Source organism: Homo sapiens, chromosome 10 (assembly GCF_000001405.40).
Source record: "Homo sapiens chromosome 10, GRCh38.p14 Primary Assembly".
Lineage (NCBI taxonomy): Eukaryota > Metazoa > Chordata > Mammalia > Primates > Hominidae > Homo > Homo sapiens.
Window position 1 is genome coordinate 114393480 of NC_000010.11, and position 27519 is coordinate 114420998.

At 47.0% G+C, this 27519-nt stretch overlaps 1 protein-coding gene across 54 annotated transcripts in view, besides 4 other annotated features; it reads right to left on the reverse strand.

Annotated features, from left to right (window-relative positions):
- The window catches only part of AFAP1L2 (actin filament associated protein 1 like 2), a 124451-nt gene extending 112755 nt beyond the window's left edge, over positions 1-11696 (reverse strand). For 31 of the 54 annotated variants that reach the window (XM_047425873.1, XM_047425865.1, XM_047425864.1 and 28 more), the window contains exon 1: positions 10961-11023. In XM_047425873.1, the coding sequence (XP_047281829.1) occupies positions 10961-10976 (16 nt within the window). In that variant the 5' untranslated portion in view covers positions 10977-11023. Of the gene's footprint in view, positions 1-5371; positions 5426-10960; positions 11024-11555 lie in introns of those variants that run through there. The other 23 variants (XM_047425858.1, XM_047425857.1, XM_047425856.1 and 20 more) reach the window with 2 other exon arrangements.
- Positions 10178-10227: a silencer, noted in NCBI's record as "silent region_2844". NCBI's record gives its function as "represses an Ori minimal core promoter by ATAC-STARR-seq in GM12878 lymphoblastoid cells {active_cell/tissue: GM12878}" and the evidence as "EXISTENCE:reporter gene assay evidence [ECO:0000049][PMID:35858748]".
- Positions 11025-11104: a silencer, noted in NCBI's record as "silent region_2845". NCBI's record gives its function as "represses an Ori minimal core promoter by ATAC-STARR-seq in GM12878 lymphoblastoid cells {active_cell/tissue: GM12878}" and the evidence as "EXISTENCE:reporter gene assay evidence [ECO:0000049][PMID:35858748]".
- Positions 11025-11558: a biological region, named in NCBI's record as "H3K4me1 hESC enhancer GRCh37_chr10:116164296-116164796".
- Positions 11058-11558: an enhancer, noted in NCBI's record as "H3K4me1 hESC enhancer chr10:116164296-116164796 (GRCh37/hg19 assembly coordinates)". NCBI's record gives its function as "activates a minimal SCP1, AML or CMV promoter by ChIP-STARR-seq in primed H9 embryonic stem cells {active_cell/tissue: H9 hESC(primed)}" and the evidence as "EXISTENCE:reporter gene assay evidence [ECO:0000049][PMID:30033119]".
- Positions 11697-27519: the final 15823 nt, after the last annotated feature.

Consider the following 27519-nt stretch of genomic DNA (forward strand, 5'->3'; position numbering starts at 1 on the left):
TTACCTCCGGGTCAGAAAAGCAAAAATCCACATGCTAAGGGCTTCATTCATGAAGTAGAATCCCCGAAGCCTCTTTCATCGTGAGTAGAGACCTGGAGGCTGGGGACAGGGAGGGAAGTTGGGGGTGGAATGGGAGAGTGAGTCAGGCTTTGTAAGGATCTGATCTCAAAAGCAACAGCCTGAATTCTCCCTCCGAGAACAAAACAGCCTTTCCACTCTCAAGGGAACCAGTGCGTGGTGAGTTGGGAGCGACACCTGGATCCCGTAACTCTTGGAGATTTGCTGCCAGCCAGAGCTGTTTACAATTACATACACCAAAGCAGCCTCAGAAGGGCGGGAGATGGGCGCTTGCCCGCTGAGAAGCAAGGAGGTCAATGGGAAAAAATTATTTTAGTCAACGTTGAGCCTTCATGCTTGGAACTTTTATCCAAACAATGGACACATTCTCATGCTCCCCCTGGGAGGACACCAGTCCCTCCTCTGATACTCAGTTCCAGGAGACTTGGGATGGCGGTGGGAGGAGCCCCTCACAGTGCAGGAATTTTGATTCTACCCCTTGGTGGTCAGCGAGTCACAGCACTGTTTAAGGACCCACAGAAAGAGAGTACGTGTGCCCTTTCCTGGGACCCTAATCACCGTGACACTAACCTGCACTGTGCCGGGGGGACGACCGGCAAAGCCCCAGGGTTAGCAAATAGCTCTGGACCTGAGGATTGTGGAAGATGTCATTTCTTGCAGCAGGCCATGAGAAGTGACACCCTTTAGGGCTTGAGGAAGCAGCAGGGGCCACAGTGAACAAATTCCATTGAGGCCTGCACTTCTAGGAGGGAGTAAGATACTGAGAATAAGCCCCAGTTTCCCCACCCTGACTCTGAGGTCACCAGCCCCTCCTGGGAGAAGCCTGAAATTCAAGCCACGGCTATTTGAAATGAGAGCCTGAGACCACCAGAGGCCTGGGGACCAGGAGAGAGTTGGGAGGGTCTGACTCTATCCTCTGTGTCTTTCTGGCCTCAGGTTCTCAGTGGGAATCCCTTCTTTGGACTCAAGATCCAGGAGACCTGGAGACCTGAATGGAAGTGGTAGAAAGAAACAGAGTGAAAAAGTGGGAGAAAGTCAAGAGGGGAACAAAAGAAGAGAGGGGAAGAAGAGAGGGAGGGAGAGAGGGAGGGAGGAAGCAAGAGATGCAGGTGCAGGAGCCAGCGTGAGCCTGTGCGTCCAAGAGGCGTCCTGAAGCACCCACAACTCACACTTGTGTGTGTGGTTTTGAGATCCACCCTTCCTGCTTTGCCCCAGGCTACTTTCAGAACATCTGGGATATTACCGACTTGAACCAGAGACAAGCTTCCACCGACTCCTGGGAGACATGAGTCTCACCCAGCTCAAGTACCTGCCCCTGCTCTCTCAGGAGATTTCCAGGGGCTCCAGACATCTGGAACCGTCACAGCACAACTGTGTCACAGCCATACAGAAACCGTGCTTGACCACCATGCACGCCACGATCCTCAGCCACAATTCCGGTAACATCAACGGTAGGGACCCCATCTCTAAAACATGCCAAAGACATGTGATCCAACTCTGCCATGTCAGTCAAGGACCAGCTGCCCTGCACTAGGCAGTCAAGCAGTAGGTGCCACTTCACCATCCTTTATTCTCCCTAAGTGTGCAGGAAACTGCCAAGCAGAAGCCACAGAGGGCTTCTGTTAACTGTAGTACCTAATGTTGGTGTTCATCTTTATTCAAAGAATGTGCTAGAATTGGGTGCCGCAAAAGTCCTGACAATGCAAAGGGCGGTAGGGTGTTGACCATTGTGAGCTGATAAGGAGTCTAGGATAGTAACAGAATATTTGCCTCCAAGGAGACCCAAGACCATGAAGATGGCCCAAGCAAACTTGCCACCCAGTAGGTCCCAGCTCTGATACCGGGGACACGAAGCACCCTAGAAGAGTTCCTTCCAAAAGGACCACATTTGAATTTTAGTAAATCAGTTCAATATGTTCTAGGACTGTGGGTATTAAATAAAAGAAGTCAGTGAAACCTCCAAACAATAAGCTCATTCAACAATCTTTTTTTTCTCCCCCCATCTGGGGACTTGAATACAGTGAACATGAATAAATCCTGTTGTATAAAAACTGGGGGAGAAAAAAACGGGGGGTGGAGGATGGAAGGAAATGGCAGGATTCCCACTTGTTGGGCTAACAAGAAGGCTAAGACAGTCCCCTAAACCCAAACAGATGCCAGTGTGCCCAGGCAGCCCAGGGGAGATTGTGGCAGAGGTGTGCAGCCCAGGGAAGGAAACATCTGGAATCCCCCACTCATAAGCTCCCAGCTTCTCCCTTGCACTCAAACCAGACGCGGGCCTTGGGGCTGCCCCAAACCCGACCCTTCTTAGGTAGACCAGCCACAAGCCAGGCCTGACCCTGCATCAGGGAAATTTCACTTCAAATATGCACAAAAACACTGCCTGCCTCTCTAACATCAATGCTTTCCCCCAACAAAACTAAGACAATTAGAACTAAGGATTGCACTGGCTATGAGTCTGTAATTCTTCCAGAAAACCCTGGAACAGGTGGAAGAGACCTGCCTTTGTGGGTGACTAGTGGCTTGGATGTGTTTGTGATTTTAAAAAGTTGCATGTGGGAAATTCTCCTGTATAATTCATGGTTGAACATGACCTCAGCCCATGTAGTCCTCACGGATGGAAGTTCCACAGCCTTCCAACAGGCTGTGCTTAATAGAGATGCAGACACAGACCCAGCTTCCCAGGGTACAGAGCCAGACAAAATTCACCTGAAGAACAGGCAAATTCAACATGGGCTTTGATTAAAAAACAAATAAATAAATAAAAAGGAAAACACCAAGATCTTAAGAGTCCATTCAGATCACCCAGAGTGATACTTCTTCCTTCTTGGGGACTTCCACATCCTGTCCGCTGGCCTGGTGCAGTGACGACTGGTAATTCTGCCCTTGCATCAGAAGGCTTCTCCTTGTCTAGAAATAAGAGGACTGATTCTTTACATCAAATGCGACTGGGTGTGTTATTTCGATAAATCATGGGTTCTTCCCCTCAAAATCAATCCTAGCTAGCATAGACAAGCAGGACTGCCAAAAACAAAAAGTCAACCAGGAAATAATTATCCTGCAGACTTGATTACTCAATTCTAATACAATAACTTTATTGGTAGAAAAAAAAGACTTGCAGACAGGCTGCCAAAGCCAGTACATTAGATCCATGTGTGGGTAGCAGCAGAGTTCCCAGGGTGGGAACCTGAGTCTAATGCTCTTATATTCCATGGTCCTCCTGGGCTTGTTGGCTGCCTGGCCTTTAGGGGAGCTGCTTTTGCCTTTTCTCTAAACAGAGGGAGAGCTTCCACTATCACACTGATTGTGCCTAATGAAAAAGTCTCTGGCATTTAGGATGTCATCAGGCATGAGCCCTTGGCCTTTTTGTTTTGTACCAAATTTCTCACCCTTTTCTGCTGCATACACCTCCAGAACCATTGCAGACACACCCACACCAAGACTCAGTTGCTAATTACAACCCATGATACCCAACCTTGACCTTGAACCTTCATCTTATACCACAGCATCACAACTGCTAGAGTGTTTTTAAAAGTCAGCTTTATTGAGGTTAATTTACACACAGAAAAAAAAAAAGCCCTTTTAACTACACAGTTCTGAATTGTGACAAGTATGTATGGCTGTGTAACCACTACCAAAATGAAGATACTGAACATCTCTATCATTCCAAAAATTTCCCTCACGCCCTTTGTGGCTCACGCCTTCCCCCAGTCCCAGTCCTGGCAACTACTGATCTGTTTCCCTATAGTTTTGCCTTTTCCAGAAAGTCATATAAATAGAATCATTCAGTGTGCAAGCTTTTGAATCTTGAATAGCAGTATGCTTCTTTCACTTAGCATACTGGTGTGTATCACTAGTGGTAAGTTACGATCTGCCAGTTTTTAAGCCTTGGACTTTCACTTTCTTGTCAAAGAGACAAAATAATTGGTTCCAGCTCATGTTTGCTATGGAGAAATCAAACTCTTGATTCAGAAACTTTTACTAAAGCTTAGGTCCGGTAATAGGGCAACTCACCATCTCAGTTTGCCCAGGACTAAGGGGATTCCTGGGACACCAGACTTTCAGTGGTAAAACCAGGAAAGTCCCAAGCAAGCCCGGAAGGCTGGTCATTCAATTTGGGAAAGCTACCTCCAAGGGTAGGACTGTACATTCACCCAGCTTGGATTCTTCCTGGTACACAGTGGTTGCTGTCTCTGAGCTAACAGCTGGCTAGCCTCTCTTGCTTTAATCTCCAGCAGAAGGCTGATTTGCAGTGTGCTGGGGCTGAGCTTCCGTACAAGCTCACCACAGTCCACCAGGACTGTATCTGCCTTTGAAGTCCTGGGAGGAGCTCCAGGAAGTGAGAAGAGAACTCAGGGGCCTGCTTAGAAAACAGCAGAACAGGATTTCTACTGGCATGGGTGCCTCTCCCCACTCCTCCCTAATACCAGACTCCCCTGAGAGATGTGAGATCCGTGTTCCCTGGCCTCACTGTGTTTTTGCATCAGTCCAATGCAACGCGTCCAGGGGGAGGCAGGCTCCTCCTGTTTTTCTACACATTCTCCCTTCTCCCCGCTCAATGCAGTTTGTGGTTAGTTTGTTTTTTGAAACTAACTGGGGAGAATATGAGAGTCGAGTGATAGAAAATTAGGAAAGGGCTCAAAGCTACTATTTGAATTTAAGGGTCTCTCCTATGTGGACTTAATGAGACATCAGAGAAAAGTCAGGCAGGGCTAGGATGTAGCTCTACACATAACAAATGAGCAGTTCGTCACCTATCTCTTTCTCCACTGACATGAAGAATACACAGATGCTATCTCTGAGAAGCTAGGATGCCTAGAGGCTGAGAAGCCCCAACTTATATCTCCCAACAGCATTGAAAAGCACACAGTGGGCAGAGCCCAGTGAACTGTGAAAAGGCAGGAACTGGTGGGATCAGAACCACATGCCAGAGGTTTCAGGGTATCTGCTCCCCTGCGTTAATTTAACATTCTCTTTCTCAAAGTCTTTACCAATAGCTCTTACAAGTTATTCCACCAAGTGGCCTGCAAGGTAGATTAGTAATCATTATTCTCACTCATACAGATGAGGAAACAAGGCTGAGAAAGATTAATTGACTTGCCCAAGGTCGCATAGCGAGTTAGTGGCAAAAGCCAGATTAGAATCCCGAGCCCCTGAGTGCCCAGGCCGGTGCCCAGCTCCTTGATCTCCCTCAACCATCCACCCAGAGCATGGGCAGAGCCAGGTCTGCACCCTCGGGAGCCCTGGAGGCCAGGTGAGCTGCTGCAGAGGGCACAGACAGGCTCATACTCACACGCAGAAACCTGCCGGATCCTTCTCTGTACCACCAGACAGCAACACCCCTGTGCTGGAATAGACAGAAATAAGGCTCAAGTCGGGAAAGCCAAGGGTGGCCACTGTGGGCTTTCATCTCCATTTCTGGAATCTGCCTTTGAGATTTTGCTTCATTTCTTTTTGTGAACCAGGTCTGTTCTCCAGAGCTAGAGCACGGGAGAATATGTGATCTCTTTGCCTGGAATTTGTTCATTTCCCCACTCCCCAATCATGTCCCAGATACCCACTATGCAGCTGGCAGTGTGCCAGGGGCTGGAGAGGGACATAAGGAAAGACAAAGTCCCTGTCTTGAAGGAGTTCAGCCTGGCAGGGAAACAAACATAGACATGTACAATTATTAGACAAATGTGACACTAATTCCACAAATATTTGTTGCCCACCTGCGATGTGCTAGGCATTAATGAGGCTATCCCAAGAGTAATGAGGGTACACAGTGGGAGTCAGGGGAGGCTTCCTGGATGAAGAGACATGTGGGCTAGGTCCTGAAGATTGAGGAGAGTTTAACTGAGCAGGTAGTCCCTCCCTGGCTGAAGGGACACCGATAAGGAATGAATTTGAAATTGCTTTGAGCACTTCTTTCCTAAATAAATCCTTGAAAAGGAATTCTACCCTTTTAGAGACTCAGTTCTCAGGGATATTATATCCTATTTCTGACTGTCTGGACTGTTGCTTAATCTCTGTAGGCCTCAGTTGGCCTGTCTCTCAAATGGGAGTGAATAATGGTCCGTGTTGCAGAGGGTGGCTCTGGGCTCGATGAACAATCTTTGGAGACACGGTCACACAAAAGTCCTTGAGAAATGAATTCCTCACATGGCCTACGGCATTCTCTTTCCCACTAAGTCTGCTACTCTCCAGCTCTCAACAGGAAATTGGTTTTATTTATAAGAATCACAATCCTAAACTGACCTTTGCTGGGCTACCCACCCACATTCCCTCCCTCATTTCCCTCTCCTCCCCAAGACACATCCTCTCTCCAAAGATTCCTCAGTGACCACAGAACAACTAGCATCGAAGAACCATTGGAAAGTCAGATAGAGGAACACTGCGAACACTGGAGGTTGTTTTCCAGATGGGGAAACTGAGGCCTGGAGAGCTCAGCAGTTTGCCCAAGGAAATGAAGCCTGTGGGTCTCCAGGTTCCTGAGCCACTACTTTCTTCATTGCACCATGACTGCCTTCATGTCTCAGCCAGGGCTCTGGACAGAAAAAGCCATCCTCCCTTGGCTTGAGGAAAGTCTCCCTTCTCTGAATGACAGAAGCCTTTAAAGAAACATTTCCCGTTATGAAAGGGAATTGGAAGAAAACTGGCACAGCTTCCTCAGCTTTGAAGCTCCTTGGCCTTTCCTGGCCCTTTAATTGTGCTGGAAGCAGCCCAGCTCGCAGGGCTCCTACCCCTTCAGAAGAGAGGAAGGGCCCAAAGCAGAATTCCCCCACTCTGCTTGGCCTTTCAGCACCAAAAGTGACCTCTCAGTATTTCTGTTTCAGACCATTTCATTGCCACATCATCCAGGGCTCCCACGCAACTTCAAAGTCAGGGAGCTCAGGGTCAAGTACAAGGAGCAAACCCTGAGCTTAGGATTTTAAGCACCACATTTGAGATCGTTTTTAAGCAACGTTCCCATAGCCTTTTAAAGCCTCTAATAGCTGAAGGTGATTACAGTAGATTTCTGCAGGTATTACAAGATTTGGTTAAGGCACATCGTGTGAGTATCGGGGGGGCATCCCTTTCACCCCACACTTGCTTTTACTTTTCCAGGTGAGGAAAGTGTATATAAAATTACTGATCTTTTTTGCTCTTTTGACATTTCATGTTTTTTGGAGGAAATTTGGTTCCCAACTTTGGCTGCATATTGGAATCACCTGAAGACCTTTAAAAAATACAATGCCCAAGCTGTACCCTAGACCAATTAAATCAGAATGTCTTGGGTGGGGCCTTTACATCCATATTTTTGAAAGCTCCACAGATGATTCCATGCACAGCAAAGGTTTAGAACTACTGCCTTAGATAGAACTTCAACACAAAAAAACCTGAGTTCGTAGGCATTGAAAAATAACAAATACAGATGATTCCTGAAGGTAGCATGCCCATCTCTTTTAATTTGCTTTTCTTTTCCAGACCTTCCCTGACCACAGATCTCAGGATTCCCATATAAACTTTGAAGTAGTATTTTACTGGATTGACTCTTTGCAGTTCATATCTGCCTCCAATGCCCTAGAGCTAAGCGGGGGGACTGGATGATCAAATTCAGAAACAAAAGAACCGCAGAAAAAGAATAATAACACTTTCAACCAATTACTGTGATCTAAATTGAAGCTGAATATCTCAACCAGGCCCATCTGTATCCAAGTATGATGCAATTTCAGGAAGCTTCGGCATGGATGTTCCAAGCACAATCCACAGATAGTAGGTCAGTCACATTTGGCCCAGACCCACTCACCAGCTGGGAGAGCAGTCAGAACCAGAATGCGTGACCACACTGGGTGAGTTCAGCCAATGGGCTCATGCACAGCGATAAAAGGATGCTCTTATGAGAGTCATAAATATGTAAACACATAAGGATGGGAACCTTCTCAAAGCACCCTGTAGGATTTGGCCCCACATCCTGACATTTGCGAGAGCCTTACTGCTTATACAACGCCAAAGAGATTCACATACAAGACATAGCCATTTTACCATCGCTATTTATGGCAACTCTCATAAAAGTGCCATCTCTCTAGGAAGGGACTCCCACATACTCCCCGATCCCTTATTTTTGCTTGGGTGAGTCATGGCTATCTAGCAGAAATCTTGGAAGGGACTGGGAAGAAAGTCTGGAAGTGTCTCTGCAACAGGCATGTCACATGGGTGATATTCCAACCACCCATCATCTCCAGACCTCACTTTACATCCTACAAGACAATGGAAAATCCACTCAGAGCCCAAAAATGATAGGCTATTTTTGGAGGATGTACAATATATATAACAAGCAGGCTAAGGAACATGGAAAGACAATTTCTCCTACATGAACTGCTTTATAAGATTTGCAAATTAGAGAAAACATTTTGAGACTCTGAAGACAGCCATGAGGCATTTCCACCTACCTGAGAGAGGGAGAGCTCAAAATTGGAAGTACAGAAACAGAATGAAGAGGCATTTAAATAACACATTTAAAAAGTGTCACACACAATAAGAATTTTTCTTTACAGTTTTTACTTAGGCTCCAGGAGCCCAACTAAATAAACCTGCTTTTTCCGTTTAACTTTGTTGTTTAAACCACTATTCCTAGTTATTCCAATAACTATTCAATCTCAACTTTAAGAAGATGGCCCCAGTCTCTGAAAAGCAAGAAGAGACTACCGATTCTAGTCAGTCACACTGGTTAATCAGAGATGGGCTTCATTTTGCATTTTGCATAGAGGAACTTTTCCATTTAAAGGGTGTTCAAAGCACAACTTATCTGCCTCTCAGGAGAATGGGGAATTCTATATCCTGGGGCTAGGGGATCCCCAAATTCCTCAGTGAAAGGTGTAGTAAACCTATTAGCAGCATGACACCAGCGAGACAAAATAAAGATTTTTCTCATGAGTCAAACACTGGAATTTGAGTTGGATTAGCCTCTGAAACCTAGATAATTCTCAGGTTTACCCACTTATCACTCTGTGTCTGGTTTACTGCAAAATGATCAGGCAGATACATGTGTTACCAAAAACATAAGCACCCTGACCTGGAAACGAAGTTCCCTTCAGTTGGCAAAAACTGATCCTCTTCGAGGGTGGGAGGATTTTAAGCTCCTGAGAGAGAAAGATAACTAAGAAGACTTTTATCAGGTCAAGGGCCAAGTCAAAAGTTATTAATACAAAAGCCTTCTGAGAATAACGGGACATTTTGAAAGACCCCAAATGTGATTTGCCCTGATTTAGAGAGATTAATATGCTGATTTGAGAAAGTAGCTTGCAACCTACAACTAACACCACCCCCACCCCCATACACACACCCCAGCTTTGCAAGTCAGGGAGCTGGAAGGCACCCCAGAGGCCAACACTTCCTGTCAGGCTCAACTCAAGGCCTGAATTCCCAGAGAGGGTCCCTCCCGAAGGGCGGAGGGGCCCCAGTAGGGGAGGGAGTGCAAACGGCCATGTTACAAGGAGCAGGACTGTGGCTTCCTCAAGTGTCTGAGACAGCATAAGCGCGCATTCAGTCATTCAAGCACAAAACTGACGTGATCCCAGTAGAATTTGAGAAGAAGAAAACCACCGGGTTAGAAATGCGAGAGAAGCTCCAGGGAGGGTTCACAGAAAGAAATCAAAGGTGGCCAACTCCTTTAACCCTGTCCCCCACGCCGGCTCCCTGCTGTCGGCAAAGACCCTTCCTGAATATATGAAGCTCTGTCTGGGACTTGGATCTTTTGCCTTCACCAGTAACCAGGCTACCCAGATGAGAAAAAGCAATGGGAAAGTGAAAGACAAGACTACTTTAGGGAAGCCGGTCCCAACAGGTCCCTTTATGTCAGTTTCAGGGATCAGAGCCCTCCGGGAGTGAGATTCCTGGGAATCTGAGCGTTCTCTTTTTATTACTCTCTCCCAGGGGAAAACAAATATAGAAGCAGCATTTCCTCCCGCAGGTTTGGCGGAGACCGGTCCAGCAAAAGAGAAGGCAAGAGGCTTTTCCAAAGGGAAGGGGTCTGCAGGAGGATGGGGGAGGGGGGAGCGCCCGCAGGGTTCCTCTTAAGGGGCAACTCCCTGTACTCCCTTTTCAAAAGAACCGCAATCGAGACTTGTAGACCAGCTCCGAGGCTCCGAGTGTGGGTGCTAAGCTGGGCGTCCGGCGCACCCGGGACGGCCCGCCCACCGGGGTTTGGCGGAGATCCTGGCCCCCGCCAAACCCAAAGCTCGCCCAGCTGCGCACTGAGCTAAGCCCTCGGGTCCGGACGCCTCCAGGAGCTCCACCTGCCGGGCACTCCATTCGGCCCCCGACCCTCGCATCCCTCCTTTCTTGGTGTGGGGGAGCAAAGAAGGGCTTGGAGAGAAACGATGACCCGAACGGCAGGACGTTTGGGGAGGCCCCACCTAGCCCGGGGAGGGTCTGCGCGCCCACTCCACTGCCCAAGCGCTTTGCCGGGAGCAGGAAGCCCCTAGCCCGGCGGGCGCCCGGGAGAAAGGACTCAACAGCCCGACCCTTTGCCCCCAGCAGCTCAGCACGGTTCCCACCTTCTTCGGGGCTTCCTCGGCCCCAGGCATCTTTCCTGTGCGGCGGGACTGAGGGTGGAGTGGGGTGCCGGGCTCACCCTCTCTCCTGCAACAGGTGAGAAGCCCCGCCACGCCCCCCACTGACGACCCCCTCCTTCCGCGCCCGGGAGGATCAAAGGGCTCGGGCCGCAGCAGCCACCTAGGAGCCCACCCGCCCAGTCCGCGGCGCCGCTGTCGCCCCCTCTTAGGCCCAGGTCCGGGCTGGGTGGGGGCAGTGGGCTCTGCTTATCCCGAGTCCTGGCAAGACGAGTCCTAGCCCTGCCCTCCGCGTCGCTGGGCGAAAGGGAGTGGGTGTGCGCCGCGCGAGGAACCCGCGCCCTCACCTTTGTACCGCTCCATCGGGGCCACGGAGTGCGCTCCTCGCGGCTCGGCTTCTGCGCTGCTCTCCCGGCGCTCGGCTCAGCGCCCAGGCCGCCGCGCTGGCCCCTCCCCGTGAGGTCACGCTCGCGGCCGGACCTCCTGGCGGGGCCGCCGCGCCCAGGGTCCTCGGACCTGGCCCCCGCCAGGGCTCGCCCCCAGCGCCCCTGTCCCAGCGCCCCTGTCCCAGCGCCGGAGAACTCCGGCCCGCCGAGGCTGACAGTCGGCTCTTGAGTCGGTGCGCGCCCGCGGCCCCGCTCGCCGCCCCCGGCCGCCTTGGCACTCCCTTCACGTCTTGACTCCGGGGGCGTCGAGAGGGAACGAGACTGGGACGTTCCCAAACTCTGGGGGAGGCTCCGGGAGGCCGGGCTTGGGTGGGCCTCCAAGATTGTTCCCACACCCCTGCCCGCTGCAAACCCAATGCCTGGAGGAGGAGACCGAGGTCCAAGCTAGGAGGTTGAGACTGGCTTAGAGCTCCTCGCGCTTGGCTCCCGAGCCAGCGCGCTTTTGCCCTAGGCCTTCCTGGAGGGGCGAGGAGGGCAGCGGGGCGGGCAACCAAACCTGCTCCGGGTTCTTTGGGGATTGCTCCCACTCTCTTGGAACCTCTCTGGGCAGCCGCTGCCAATCGCGCACACTTCAGGGTGTGTGAAAACATCTGCTTGCTGCTTTCTACCTGAATTTCCAGGGCCAACGCCACAAGTCAGGGAGTGCCGTTTCCGGGGCGCCCAGTAAACCTGACCGCCTTGGAGGGGTGGCGCCGGTTCCATAAGGAAGCTCGGCCATGGCTCTGAATCTCCACCCTGCACTGCCTCCATCCAGAAGTGCCACACTTCCATCCTTTGCCTTTTGCCACCGGTCCTTCCAGGCCCTTAATGCGACCTAGTCTTCTCCGTGCTCCCCCCAGAGATCTATGTGTTCTTTTAAACTTTTTCAGTTTTCACTTTAAAATCTCAGTCACGGTTTGTGCTGGGTGCCTGGTTGGTTACCTAAGTTCCCCAGCTTCCTTGAAGGAACAATTAAGGAAGATTTGGCAGTGGTGGTTTTCTAAAAGACTTCTTAATTCTTCCTTGGAATCGCAGATTTAGTTGTGATGTTTGGAGACCTCCCCCAACCCCTCCCAACAGCATGTAGAAATATTTTTCTTAGTTATACTAGCACCTAATGTGGATGGAGCCCTCCCCACAAGCCAGGCACGGCGCTAAGGGCTGTACATCACTGCCTTTAGTTTCCCCGATATCCCTGTGACATGGGTATTATTATGATCTCTTTCATAGAGGTGAAGAAGCTACGGCTGGGCGCGGTGGCTCACGCCTGTAATCTCAGCACTTTGGGAGGCTGAGGCGGGCGGATCACGAAGTCAGGAGTTCGAGACGAGCCTGGCCAACATGGTGAAACTCCATCTCTACTAAAAAAAAAAAAAAATAGCTGGGCTTGGTGGCAGGGGCCTGTAAACTCAGCTACTTGGGAGGCTGAGGCAGGAGAATCGTTTGAACTTGGGAGATGGAGGTTGCAGTGAGCTGAGATTGCGCACTGCACTCCAGCCTGGGTGACAGTGTGAGACTACGTCTCAAAAAAAAGAAAAGAGGTTAAGCAATTTGCTCAAAGTCACACAGCTAGAAAAGAGCGGAGCAGGCGTTAAACTCGGATCTGTCTGCTTCCAAATGTGTATTTTAATTTTTATTTTTTTAGAGACAAGGTCTTGGTTTGTTGCCTAGGTTGGAGTGCAGTGGCACAATCTTGGTTCACTGCAGCCTCAAACTCGTGGGCTTCACACTGATCATTACAGAAATGCAAATCAAAACTGCAATGAGATACCATACCGTCAGAATGGCTATTATTAAAAAGTCAAAAAATAACAGATGCTGGTGAGGTTGCAGAGAAAATGGAATGCTTATACACTGCTGGTGGAAATGTAAATTAGTTCAACTATTGTGAAAAGTAGTTTGGTGATTTCTTAAAGAACTTAAAACAGAACTACCATTCAACCCAGAAATCCCATTATTGGATATATACCCAAAGGAATATAAATGGTTCTACCATAAAGACATATGCACATGTATGTTTATTGCAGCACTACTCATAATAGCAGAGATATGGAATCAACCTAAATGGTCATCAACAGTAGACTGGATAAACAAAATATGGTGCATATATACCATGGAATACTATGCAGCCATAAAAAAGAACAAGACCATGTCCTTTGCAGCAAGGAAGAATGGAGCTGGGGGTCATTTTCATAAGCAAACTAATGCAAGAACGGATAACCAAATACCACATGTTCTCACTTTTAAGTGGGATCTAAATACTGAGTACACATGGACACACAAAAGGGAACAACAGACACCACAGCCTACTTGAGGGTGGAGGGTGAGAGGAGAGTAGGGATTGAAAAATTACCTATTGAGCACTATGCTTACTACCTGTGTGATTAAATAATCTCCACACCAAACCCCTATGACACACAATTTACCTATATAACAATTTGCACATTTGCCCTGAATCTAAAATAAAAGTTTAAAAAGAAAAAGAAGAATAATCAGAAAATTAAATATTTTTAAAAATATATTTAAGGTAAAACTGGAATGTATTGTGTTAAATGAAATAAAATATTTAGGCCAGGCGTGGTGGCTCATGCCTGTATTTCCCAGCACTTTGGGAGGCCGAGGCGGGCAGATCACCTGAGGTCAGGAGTTCGGGACAGCCTGGCCAACGTGGTGAAACCCAGTCTCTACTAAAAATACAAAAATTAGCCGGGCATGGTGGTGCACACCTGTAATCCCAGCTACCTGGGAGGCTGAGGCATGAGAATTGCTTGAACCCAGGAACTGGAGGTTACAGTGAGCTGAGATCACACCACTGCACTCTAGCCTGAGCAACAGAGCAAGCCTGTCTCAAAAATAAATAAATAAATAAAATCAAAAATTAAAATGAAATAAAATGTTTACAAACAAACCAACAACAATAAAAAAAAACCTCCTGGGCTTCAGTAATCCTCCCGCCTCAGCCTCCCAGGTAGCTAGGACTACAGGCACATACCATGACACTCGCCTAGTTTTGTTGTTGTTGTTGTTAATTTATTATTTATAAAGATGGGGCCTCCAACTCCTAGGCTCAAGTGATCCTTCCACCTCGGCCTCCCATAGCGCTTGGATTATATGTGTGAGTCACTCTGCCAGCCCCAAATATTCACAAAACTTCTTGGCACTCATAGGAAGTGCCAGGCTGTTTGTTACCATCTCATGGGGCACACAGACCAGTGAACAACACAGCACAGTGAGGTAGATGCTCTGATAAGACAGAAACACGAGGGATTCTGGGAACACACAAGAGGACACTGAAGCAGCAACGGCTGCACTGAGTTCCATGAATTTGAAGAGTGCGACGAGCTGGCTGAGTGGGATGAGTTCGAGTTAGTGAGGTGACAGGAAAGGTACAGTGAGTGCAGCTTTCCAGGCAGAAAGGACAGTGGGAACAGAGGCAGGGAGATGAGCCTTTTCAGGGTCAAACAGCTCTGTTGCTGTAGCAGAAAGGGAGAAGCCAGGAATGAAGCAAGTGAGGCTGGAAAGGTGGGTGCAGCACTGTTCCAGGGCCTAGAGTGCTGAGCTGAGGTGATTAGACAGCACTGAAGAGTGTTGGTGCCCCGGGGATCCCCCAGGGGCTGAGAGCAGGGGGAGCACAGGAGGCAGTTGTACCCCCCAGGTGAGAAGCTATGGGGTGGTGGAAAAGCCAATGGGGAAGAGAGGACTGATGGCAGCAACCTTCTGGAAGTTGTGCCTGAGCAGAGTGTGAGGGAGGAGAAGAGCTGAGGCCGACTCTGCAGTTTCCAGCAATTTGAGTGGTTAGGTGAACAGCGTCATGCAGCCCTCAGATGTGGGGCCTGCTGTGTGCCAGGTGTCTCCAGGAACTGCAGAGCATGAGCAGGGCAAACAAGTCCTGCTCTCCTGGGCTGCTTTGGGGGTGGGGATGGAGACAATGAGCAGGAAAAGAGTCACACTCAGAAGTGGCTGCAGGTTGGGGAGTTGAAGGGAGAAAGTGAAAGGCCCATGGTGCTCCCAGGGGAGTTAGAACACTGGGTCTGAGCCCTGGAGCTCAGCCCCTTACATCAGCACCCTGTTCCACGTGGGCCTGCTCAGGAGGGCTCAAGAAATAGAAAAGTCAGAGGCTGTGGCAAGAATGCTGACGTCTCATGGATAAGAGGAGAGGGAACAGCGTTCCGCGGGCCTCCATGCAAGCTGGAACTGGAAAGTGGGGCAGGACGGATGGTGTCTTGCCTTTTTGCCTTCTCTTTCTCCTTCCCTTCCTTTCCTCATATTGCAAATGGCCCGGCCTGGCATCCACCCTCTATTCTACCGGTGTCAAGAGACTATTAGCAATGGGTCCTGGTTTCCTTTCAAATTCTCAGGGCGAATCTGATGGTGTAACTCTTCCTTTTGAAGGAAGCCTCAAGTCTCTGTTCCCAGCCCTGGCTGTCAATTGGGGTCAGCAGGGCCAGGTTACAAGGTCCCACTCAGCAGCCGTTTTGCTTGAGTTGACTCTCCCACCAGGGTGGCTAGGAGCAAATTGAGCTATCTCTGTTTCACAAATGAGGAAGCAAAGAAGTTAGGTGACTCACCCAAAGTCTCAAAGGAATCTCTTTCAAAACTAGGACTCAAAAATGAAGTTTCCTGACTCCAATTTCCTGGACTTTACCATGGCCCTTAGTTCAGGCTTTCGAAGGGCTCCAACTGGACAGTTTCACCCCGGCAAACCCTTTGATAGCCATCTCCCTGAACACTTCCTGTAACCGCAGCACCCTCCCTGCAGGCTGGGGACAGCTCGATATCTCCATTTTGCCTGTCCTCTCTCCCCCTTTCCTCTCTTGCCCCAGCCCCTTTAATTACCTCTTCCCTAAATCCTCTCTAGTTTATTGATGGAGACTTGGCAAATCCCAGAGGCTCTAGACAAAACAAAAATCAATCAGAAATGTATGCAGAGTGAATTTAAAATGGGAATTCACCGCCTTTTCCAAGAACAAAACTGAAGGGAAAAAAATAAAAAACCCCACCACTTAAAACCATCAATAGGAATCTTGGGCCTCTGGAAGCTCAGCACTGTCTCCTCCTCTCCAAAACCTGGGTGCAATTTAACCCCTTGTGGCTTTGCAACGTCCACACAGGGTTCATTCACATTCCGATTCAAATTCATTGGGTTTTTGGCCTCAGGAATCAGACGATCTGGTTCCTAGCTCATGCTCAATCCTCTGGGGGTGCTACCACTGACCCCACCCTGGACCACAGGATCAGAAACGATCCATTCCAATGCAGACAGTCCTCAGAGCAGACTGAGTAACGCTGCCCTGCAATCCAGGTAGCGAGTGTTTCCGCTGAGCTCAGATGGGGTAGGAGGGCTCTAGGCCCCCTGGGTGTGTTGGCTGAAAGTGTCCAGAGGAAGAGAACTGAGCTTCAGGATCACCTACTGTCCTAAACCAATTCTCAGCAGCAGAGATGTTCCTTCAAACACCAGGGGCTTCTCCAGCTGAGACAAGAAGGAGGGGGTACCCACCAGAAGGCAGTTGCTTTACAGACTTTATCCTGTTTAATTCTCACAGTGATCTGGACAGCAGATATTATTTCCCCCCATTTCACAGATGGAGACCTTGAGTAACTTGCCCAAGGCCACAGGTGGGCAGGGCACAAGGCAGTCCCACTGAAGCAGTGTCTCTGACCAGACTTCTCACCCAGGCACTCTTTTGTGATCATGTATTGTCAAAAGCCATTCCTGAAACTATTCTCAGCGTCATGCCTACACATTCTGTATCACAGCCAGCTCAAAAGCCACTCCTCTGAGGATGTCCCCCGACCCAAGAAGCCTGCACCCCCTTCTCAGCACAGCCCCACACTCTGGCTCTTCCAGGCAATCTGCCCCTACTCACAGTGCTCTCGTGTATTGCATTAATCCCCTGCTGTTGTGTTTAATATAGCACCTGGCACATAGTAGGTACTCAGTCATGCCTGTTGAATGAAGAAATGAATGATTGTCCCATTTTTTATCCCTCTTGGGGTTTCTGTGAAAAGGAAAATAAAAACTACAAAATGTCTTTTCTAGTTCAGATTGGTGAAACAGATTATTGCTAAAGGGCACATCAGGTCTGGTTGGGCATGGGGTGGGATAAAGCAGGAGGAAGGCTTCATGGAGGAGGTGGCCTTTGAACAAAGCCTTGAAGGGATGAAATAATTTTTTTTCCTTATTGTGGTAAAATATACATAAAATTTACTATCTTAATAATGTTTAGCGTACAGTTCAGTGACATTAAATACATTTAAATTGTTGTGCAGCTATCACCACTATTCATCTCCAGAACTTTTTCATCACCCCAAACCGAAACTGTACCCCATTAAACAGTAACTCCCCATTCTCCTTCTCCCTAGCCCCTGGAAACTACTATTCTACTTTCTATCTCTATGAATTTGATATTCTCGGCACCTTATATAAGTGGAATTATACAGTATTTGTCCTTTTGTGTCTGTCTTGTTTCACTTAGCATGTCTTCAAGGTTCATCCATGTTGTGGCATATATCAGAATTTCATTCTTTCAGGGATGAATAATATTCCATTGTATGTATATACCACATTTTATTTATCCCTTACTTGTCAATGGACACTTGGGTTGCTCCTACCTTTTGGCTATTTTGAATAATACTGTTATGAACATTAGTGTACAGATATCTATTTGAGTCCTTGCTTTCAGTTCTTTTGGGAATATACCTAGGAGTGGAGTTGCTGAGTCATGTGGTAATTCTATGCTTAACTTTTTGAGGAACCACCAAACTGTTTTCCACAGTGGTTGCACCATTTTACATTCCTACCTGTAATGTACAAGAGTTTCAATTTCTCCACATCCTCACCAACAGTTGTTATTTTCCGTTAAAAAAAAATTATACTCGTCGAGTGGGCTTCATTTGTTTTTCAAGACTCTGAAGTCAATGAGGCCTAAAGTTAACATTTCTTAGATCTGAGTGGTTGGTACATGAGAACTTTTTATATTATGCAATGAGGACCACTGTCTGGGGTCCACTCTTCTCATTGTTTTACATTTGAGGAAACTGAGGCTCAGAATCTCAAAACTGGAAGTGTTCACTGAGGATGATTGAGCCTCTCAGCCAATATGTTTGCAATACTCCAGCATTTTTAGAAACAATAAATGTTTGGCTTAAAGCAAGCAAAGGCTGAGAGGGTGAGGAGAGGAGGAGGGTGCGGAGGCTCTAGGAGGGGGATCTCCTGGGTGTCCCTCTGAGTTCGGCTCTGTGCCAGTCCATAGCCAGTGACTTAATAGAGAAAAGAAAGACACATCAGTTCCCCTCTCCAGACTCACGGTGGCTTCACCTCCACATCTCCGCAGACGTGACCTACATAAGCCAGGTGTTACAGGCCTACAAACCGGGGTGAGTAAGATTACTTTTAGCTACACCTCTAGGAAGTATTCAGCTTACAAAAACACCTCTAGTCTATTCTGGTCAATATTCCTATAAAGATTGAGTTTATCTAAAGGGGTCATTGGTTTTTATAAATTTCCTTATTATATTCCTGTGAAGTAGAGTAAACAAAAGGTGACTTTCTAAGGACCCACATAATTGAAGATCAAAGAGCCCAAGAAAGTCAGTTTTGGAAGTGGCAGATGTAGGGCATCTCTATTCTGACCCTGCTTTCATACAGAGGTTGGTGACTCTGAGAACCAGTGTGCTTGCCCATGTCACGCTGTGGTTCAGGGGCTCATGATCCAGAGCCCGGGCCTCCTTTCTGTGGCCTGAGTGTCCTGGGCCCTCCTTGGTCCCTAGGATGTTTGATGAGCAGGCCTGATGGGTTTCTACTCAATGTGCACAAGGTGTATCCTCCTCTGGAGGCTCTGTGGGCGCTAGCTCAGCCTCACTCTTTCCTCTCCCACTCCAGAAAGCACACTGGATGCTTTTGCAAACTACTCCCCCACCCTCCAGATTCTGATATGTCATCCTTCACCCTCCAGAAGAGATCAAGAATTGACCCTCCCTCATCACCTTTCTTACTTTCCTCCTGAAATCACACACCCAACTCTTAGCTAACCTACTCTTAGCTAACAGGTAGGATTCTCAAATTCTCAACAGGGTTTCTTCTCCAGTTGTCAGGTCTGGAGGAAGCAAAAGGACCAATTCTGCAGTTATCGTCCCATCAAAATCAGAGGTTCTGTCACTCAGTGAACAGACACATCCTCAATTGGTCTTTGTCTCCTACCATTTCCCTCTTGTCTTTATCTCATACTCCCTGGCTCACCTGCAGGCCCTTTGCCTCCCATTTCCTACCATGATTTCTAGCCCATGGGTGTAGACTATTTCAGAGCTGTTTGGAAACTTAGAGTCAATACTGAACCCAACCCTGTGGCCTCACATTCAAGATGCGGGAACCCAGGGAGATGCCAGCCCCAGAGCCCAGACACAGTATCCCAGCAAGGGCTCCTTGTCCCTCTGCTTCTCTTCAGGGCTCTGCTGACCTATCTCACTGGGCAGTCCTAACCCCACATCATCCTGAGTAAGTCTCACAGCTTCGCTGAAATTTGCCTGAGTTGTTCTGGTTCCTGGACATTTGCCAAGGTCTTGATCTTGGATTCACTTCCTTGATGATTTTTTTTTCCTCTTTTTTTTGCTGACTCTTCCTGTGATTGCTAAGATCTTCATTTCTCAGATGAGGCTCAAGCAGAAATGCAGCTGGACCAGAATTGGCAGCTCCACGGATTCCTCAGAGTCCCCAGACCAGGGTAGCTCGGAGAGGAATCATTGCTTCACGCCTGGAAGCACTTCCTTATCAGCAGAGCAATGCCTTCCCCTTCTGGAATGCCCTCCCAGACCCAGCCAAGACTTCCTCTTCCATCAAGGCGCCAAGAACTTCTTGAAAGGATTGAAAAGTTGAAAGGATTCTTGCAATCCTGTGATACTTTTAGTCAAGATTCATTTCTTGCTTGATAACAGAAAATAAAGACCATTTTTCTAGGTCTTCTCTCTCCAAATAGACTACAACTGCATGTGAACAGGAACTCAACAGAGGTGCCTTGGAAGCCAGTCAGGGCTGGCAGACCTCGGGTGGTTGGGTTTATAGATTTGTTGGTTGGCAGACCTGCTGCATGCCTACGGCCGCTCACACTGAGTCATCCACTTCTCTGCAGTGGGTGCTTCCTCCAGCACCTCGCTGCCAGCAAGCTCAGCTCCCCAAGGCCTCTTGAGGCTGCCTGGGCACCTCATCAGACCAGAAAAGCTCAGCTTCTGCATCCTTCTTCATTTAGCATGGCTGAGCTTCTTCCACCTCTCTCACTCCTGGGTTTCAGAACACCACTCTCTCCTGGTTTACATGCCTGGCTGCAACCTCTTCCAGCTCCTCAGATCCTGGGTGAACTCTTTATGGACCCCTTTTCCCATGGTTGGATGGATGGATAAAGTAACATTTTCAGTTATCTTTTTTCTTTTATTTATTTATTATTATTATTATTATTATTATTATTATTATTATACTTTAAGTTTTAGGGTACATGTGCACAATGTGCCAGTTAGTTACATATGTATACATGTGCCATGCTGGTGTGCTGCACCCAGTAACTCGTCATTTAGCATTAGGTATACCTCCTAATGCTATCCCTCCCTCCTCCCCCCACCCCACAACAGTCCCCAGAATGTGATGTTCCCCTTCCTGTGTCCATGTGTTCTCATTGTTCGATTCCCATCTATAAGTGAGAATATGCAGTGTTTGGTTTTTTGTCCTTGTGATAGTTTACTGAGAATGATGATTTCCAATTTCATCCATGTCCCTACAAAGGACATGAACTCATCCTTTTTTATGGCTGCATAGTATTCCATGGTGTATATGTGCCACATTTTCTTAATCCAGTCTATCATTGTTGGACATTTGGGTTGGTTCCAAGTCTTTGCTATTGTGAATAGTGCCGCAATAAACATACGTGTGCATGTGTCTTTATAGCAGCATGATTTACAGTCCTTTGGGTATATACCCAGTAATGGGATGGCTGGGTCAAATGGTATTTCTAGTTCTAGATCCCTGAGGAATCACCACACTGACTTCCACAATGGTTGAACTAGTTTACAGTCCCACCAACAGTGTAAAAGTGTTCCTATTTCTCCACATCCTCTCCAGCACCTGTTGTTTCCTGACTTTTTAATGATTGCCATTCTAACTGGTGTGAGATGGTATCTCATTACATTCCATGCTCATGGGTAGGAAGAATCAATATCGTGAAAATGGCCATACTGCCCAAGGTAATTTATAGATTCAATGCCATCCCCATCAAGCTACCAATGACTTTCTTCACAGAATTGGAAAAAACTACTTTAAAGTTCATATGGAACCAAAAAAGAGCCCGCATCGCAAAGTCAGTCCTAAGCCAAAAGAACAAAGCTGGAGGCATCACGCTACCTGACTTCAAACTATACTACAAGGCTACAGTAACCAAAGCAGCATGGTACTGGTACCAAAACAGAGATATAGATCAATGGAACAGAACAGAGCCCTCAGAAATAACGCCGCATATCTACAACTATCTGCTCTTTGACAAACCTGAGAAAAACAAGCAATGGGGAAAGGATTCCCTATTTAATAAATGGTGCTGGGAAAACTGGCTAGCCATATGTAGAAAGCTGAAACTGGATCCCTTCCTTACACCTTATACAAAAATTAATTCAAGATGGATTAAAGACTTAAACGTTAGACCTAAAACCATAAAAACCCTAGAAGAAAACCTAGGCATTACCATTCAGGACATAGGCATGGGCAAGGACTTCATGTCTAAAACACCAAAAGCAATGGCAACAAAAGCCAAAATTGACAAATGGGATCTAATTAAACTAAAGAGCTTCTGCACAGCAAAAGAAACTACCATCAGAGTGAACAGGCAACCTACAAAATGGGAGAAAATTTTCACAACCTACTCATCTGACAAAGGGCTAATATCCAGAATCTACAATGAACTTAAACAAATTTACAAGAAAAAAACAAACAACCCCATCAAAAAGTGGGCAAAGGATACGAACAGACACTTCTCAAAAGAAGACATTTATGCAGCCAAAAGACACATGAAAAAATGCTCATCATCACTGGCCATCAGAGAAATGCAAATCAGTTATCTTTTTTTCTAAAGCCATGGATCTGGGTAATTGGTGGGAACAGGAGAAGAAACTACTTTAGAGATTGTCCCAATCTTGCAGAAACAAGATTTTATTAGTATCCAAGAAAAAGAGGTGGGTAGTGATGAGGCTCTGGCCAAGCAACCCCGTGGGAGATGGGAGTGAAACAGAAGGCAGTCCGGAGGGTATAGGCACGCATCTTTGTATTCCTGCCACGAGATACCTCTCCAATAGGTCCTGTGTGCTACCTGCAGCTCACCAATCTGCCTACCCTTAGACACACAGCTTGTGTTTCCCTTAAAAGTGCCAATTGAATTCCTACCCCTCATCTTCAAGGTTGGAAACAGGGGTGCTGAGAGATGGCATGGCTTACAAGAGCCAAATGAGCAGGTCATGGCGGAGCTACGGCTGGACTCTGTGGTCCTGATTCCCAGCCGCTGTACTGATTGTGAACCCAGGGTAACTGTGGCCTCCATGATAGGAAATGTTGCTGCACCTGGCCAAGGGCCCTGGTCCTGTTCTCCTGCTCAAAGGCAGCCTTTCTAGGGCCCCAAACACCAACCTCCTCACTGTGAGTACAGTCTAGCACATAGTAAATGGCCACAAGTTATTCATGGAATGAGGGAATGAAGGAGCAAGGCATTCTCAGCAGGAGTGATTGTGCCCCCAAGGGGATGAAAATTGGATCTTGGGGGTGAAAAAAAAATTTCACCTACAGTATATAAACGTACACAGAGTCAGAGAGAGAGAGAGAGAGAGAGAGAGAAAGAGAGACAGAGAGAAAAAATATAAACAGATATAGTTTATCTGCAGCATTAAAATTTCATGGGGGAGCAATTAGGACAAAATGTCTAAGAAGACTCCTGGGGGAGGCAATAATGAAATAATGAAAAAGTGGTTGAGAAACACAGGAATATGGGCTCTGGAGTCCAGGTTAGAATCTCCCCTCCATCTCTTTCTAGCTGGCGGACCTTGGACAAGTTACGTCCACTTTTTACCTCAGTTTCTCCCTCAGTCAAATGGGAATGAAAATTCTACTCACCTCAGAGGCTGTTGTGAGGATTCCGTGAGACAATCCATGGAAAAAGTTTAGCTCAGTGTCTGTGTGTAAGTTCACAACTGATATTAGTTGCAATAATGATTAAGGTGGCTGAAAATGAGGAACTCTTCCCACCATTGTGATAATGTCATAGGAAACAGGACTCCCGTGGCAGATAAAACAGAGCTACCAATTGTTCCAATGGCCATCACCCTACAGGCAAAAGAGTCCTGCTCAGTGCTAAGTATTGGAATTGGATCTCTCATTTCAACCACCCGGCTCCCATCCACCACCCACTCAGCTACCACCCTCCACCTCGCTGAGCAAGGTACCAGGCACTTTGTTGGATAAATTGCATGAAGCCCTTAAGGGACTTACAGCCCCAGAGGGAGACAGGAAACTCTATCCTTTTTCCCTTTTCCTTTTTTTTTGAAGTGGGGTCTCGCTTTGCTACCTAGGCTGGAGTGCAGTGGTGCCGTACAGCTCATTGCAGCCTCAACCTCCTGAACTCAAGTGATCCTCTTGCCTCAGCCTCTTGAGTAGCTGGGACTACAGGTACATGCCACCATGCTCTGTAATTTTGTTCACTTCTTGTAAAGATGAGATCTCACTATGTTGCCCATGCTGGTCTTGAACTCCTGGGCTCAAAGTATCCCCCGACCTCAGCCTCCCAAAGTGCTGGGATTACAGGTGTAAGCCACCACACTTGGCCAGAAAGTCTATCCTCACTGGAAAAACAGCCTAATTTAAGCCAGTGATTCTCAAACTTTAACTTGTATAGCAATCACCTGGGGATCGTTTCAAAATTTAGACCTGATTCAGTAGATCTAGGGTTGGAGCGGAGATTTGACACTTCTGACAAGCTCCAGGTGATACCAATGCCAGTGGTTTAAGCTACAGTTTAAGGAGCGAAGTGTTGAAGGAGCTGCTGTTTTCCACAGTTTGCCAAACTGGGGAAATGGTGTTTTTCTTTCTCTGCCGATGGCTGCATATTATTTTGACATCTGATGGGGTCCACAATAAAGTGTCTAAAAAATTTCACGTTGGTAAATTATGGAAGAAAATCTTCAAGGAGAGTTCATCCTGCAACCAGGAGTCACAGTGGGTCCTGAGTATTTTGAACACTGTACTACTGTGAGATCGCTTCAGTGTTCCTGCTGGGTCACACGGCTATACTTGTTTTTCTTTTATGATCAAAATACGTAGGAGGAGGGAGGGGAAAAGAGACAGAGAGAAAGAAAGAGAAGGGGAGGAGAGGGAGAGAGGAGGATCATTATAATACAACTTCCTAACTTCTTTTTGGAAACAGCCTAAGGTAGCCATAATTTCTTCTGGCAGAAATGACTGAGAGAATATAAATGGGAATCTTTTATAGAGGAAGCCCAAGCAGGGCAGAATATTTGAAACCAGGCCAGCATAATCGTACAGTGTCTAGGGATCCCATTCTATCACTAGATTAGAATTTTTATTAGAATTCAAGTAATGTTTATGGAATATCTTAGAATCATTCAGAGCATAAGATTCAGAGAAAAGAACCAGAAGCCCCAAGATGTCAAGAAACAGAATTTTTTTAAAAAATGCATTTAAGAAGCAGTTTCCTCAGAAGAAGCCTAACCTGTTAGTACATGAAGATGTGGCAACTTGGACTGTTCAGAGAATGAAGTTGTGAGTGTGCTTGGCTTGTGGATTTGTTCCTTGATCTGTCCCGACTGACCTGAGAGCTTGCTATGGTTTGAATGTGTCCCTCAAAGTCCATGTGCTGAAAACTTAATCCCCAATGCAACAGAGAATTAAGATGGGACCATTAAGAGCTGATTAGGTCATGAGGGTTCTGTCCTCATGTGTGGGCTAATGATATTATTGAGGGAGTGGTTTCCTGATACAGAGCAAGAGTTCATTCCCCTTTCTGTCTTGCTCTCTCTCACCCTTTCACCTCCGACCATGGGATGAGCAGCATTAAGGCCCTCACCAGATGCCAGTGCCAGGCTCTTGGACTTCCCAGCCACCAGAACTATGAGCCAATTAAATATTTGTTCATTATAAATTACCCAGTCCCTGTGATTCTGTTATAGAAGCATAAGACAAAGACAGGGCTCTTGGAAGATTCCTATCCTACCTCACACAACTATTATTGCTTAATTCAAATGACAACTGGAAGTACCCAAGTGCTGAGTGCATTAGAATCTATGGTCTAGCCAATAGGTGGGCCTCCTTGGCGTGGGGTGTAAAAGTGGGACAGTTGTGGGAATCTGTGAGGAAGGTTTTCTTGAGTGTGGATCATGAATTGATTTAAATGTGACCTTCAGGTTGTAGAGTCAGAGTGCCTTGGGTTAGAAGCAGCACAGGTGCATCATTTATGATCCCTGTGACATTGTCCAGATTTCTTTATCAAATGAAACAAACATATGGGATTACGATAATATCTATTTCATAAACAAGTAAGGATTCTGTAGGATGAAGCACACAAAGAAGTTAGCATAGTATCTGGGACAGAGTGAGTGCTTGAAAATGATAGTGAGCACATTTAGGAAGTGCCCAGGTCGTGGGTAGGTGGGGAGTGGGGGACTAAGCTGGAGGAAAGAGCTAAGAGCTTAAAAAGTTGTTTTTCTTTTAATTTTTTTTTGAAATTATTTATTTATTTTTAGACAGTGTCTTGCTCTGTCACCCAGGCTGGAGTGCAGTGGTACAATCATGGCTCACTGCAGTCTCAACTTCCCTGGGACCAGGTGATCCTCCCACCTCAGCCTCCCAAGTAGCTGGGACCATAGGCATGTGCCACCATGTCCGGTCAATTTTTGTATTTTTTGTAGAGACGGGGTTTCACCGTGTTGCCCAGGCTGGTCTTGAACTCCTGGGCTCAAGCAATCTGCCCGCCTCAGCCTCCCAAAGTGCTAGGATTACAGGCATGAACCACCATGCCGGGCCGCAAGTTGTTTTTCTAGCAGTGCCTTCCTTCCTGCGCAGAGAACCAAATTCAAGCCCTCACTCTTGGCCATAAATAGAGGCGCGAGCCACTGCACAAGCTTCTTGCCCACTTCTCACCTGCCCAGGCTTCCTGCCCACTTCCCATCACAGAAGAAGCCAACATAGCCACTTCTGAGGCTCTCCTGCAAAAGCTCTAGAAATGCATGGCCCTTGCTTTTGAGTTTCACCTTTGCCAGACTCCCAGGATCTCTGTCTTCTCCGAAGTGATTGCATCTTTCTTTACTGTGTAGTTTTTTTGCTTTTTGTTTTTTATAATAAAAACAAAACTTTACATCTTTCCAAATTAATTACTCTTTTTTGTCATTGGATGTGTTTTTAATTGTGCTGAGTTTTACCTTACTGATGGGTCATAATTTTTATAACCATTCTCCCACTGAGGGGTTGCAATATTCTAAATAGAACATATAAGAACATCTTTATGGCCGGGCGCTGTGGCTCACGCCTGTAATCCCAGCACTTTGGGAGGCCGAGGCAGGCGGATCATGAGGTCAGGAGATTGAGACCATCCTGGCTAACACAGTGAAACACCGTCTCTACTAAAAATACAAAAAATTAGCTGGGCGTGGTGGCGGGCACCTGTAATCCCAGCTACTCGGGAGGCTGAGGCAGGACAATGGCGTTGAACCCAGGAGGCAGAGCTTGCAGTGAGCCGAGATCATGCCACTGCACTCCAGCCTGGGCGACAGAGTGAGACTCCGTCTCAAAAAAAAAAAAAAAAAAAAAAGAACATCTTTATGCAGATTATTTATCTTATTTTTTAAAGCAGCATTATTGAGATATAATTGACATACCACACAGTTCATCCATTTAAAATCTACAATTTAGTGGTGTTTAATAGAATAAAGTTTTCCAACTGTCACCACAATTAGTTTTGGTACATCTTCATTACCCTAAAAAGAAACCTCATGCCCATTAATAGCCACTTTATTCTCCCCATCCCCCTCAGCCTTAAGCAACCACTAATTTGTGTTCTGACTCTATAGATATCCCTATTTTTGAAATGTCATAATAAGTGGAATCACACAATATTCCAAAAGGCCATTTCATTTCATGGTCTTTTGTGAGTGGCTTCTTTCACTCAGTAGAATATCTTCAAGGTTCATCCACACTGTAGCAAGTATCAGTACCTCATTTTTTAATATCACCAAATAATATTCCATGGCGTGGACATACCACGTTTCATTTATCCTTTCGTCAGTTGGTGGGCATTCAGTTGCTTCCACTTTGGGACTATTATGAATAATGCTGCTATGAGCATTCATGTACAAGTTTTTGTGTAGATACCTGTTTTCATTTCTGTTGGGTCCACTGCATAGTTCTGTGCTTAATCAGGCATTGCTCTCTGTGGTTTCACACTTGTTCTTTT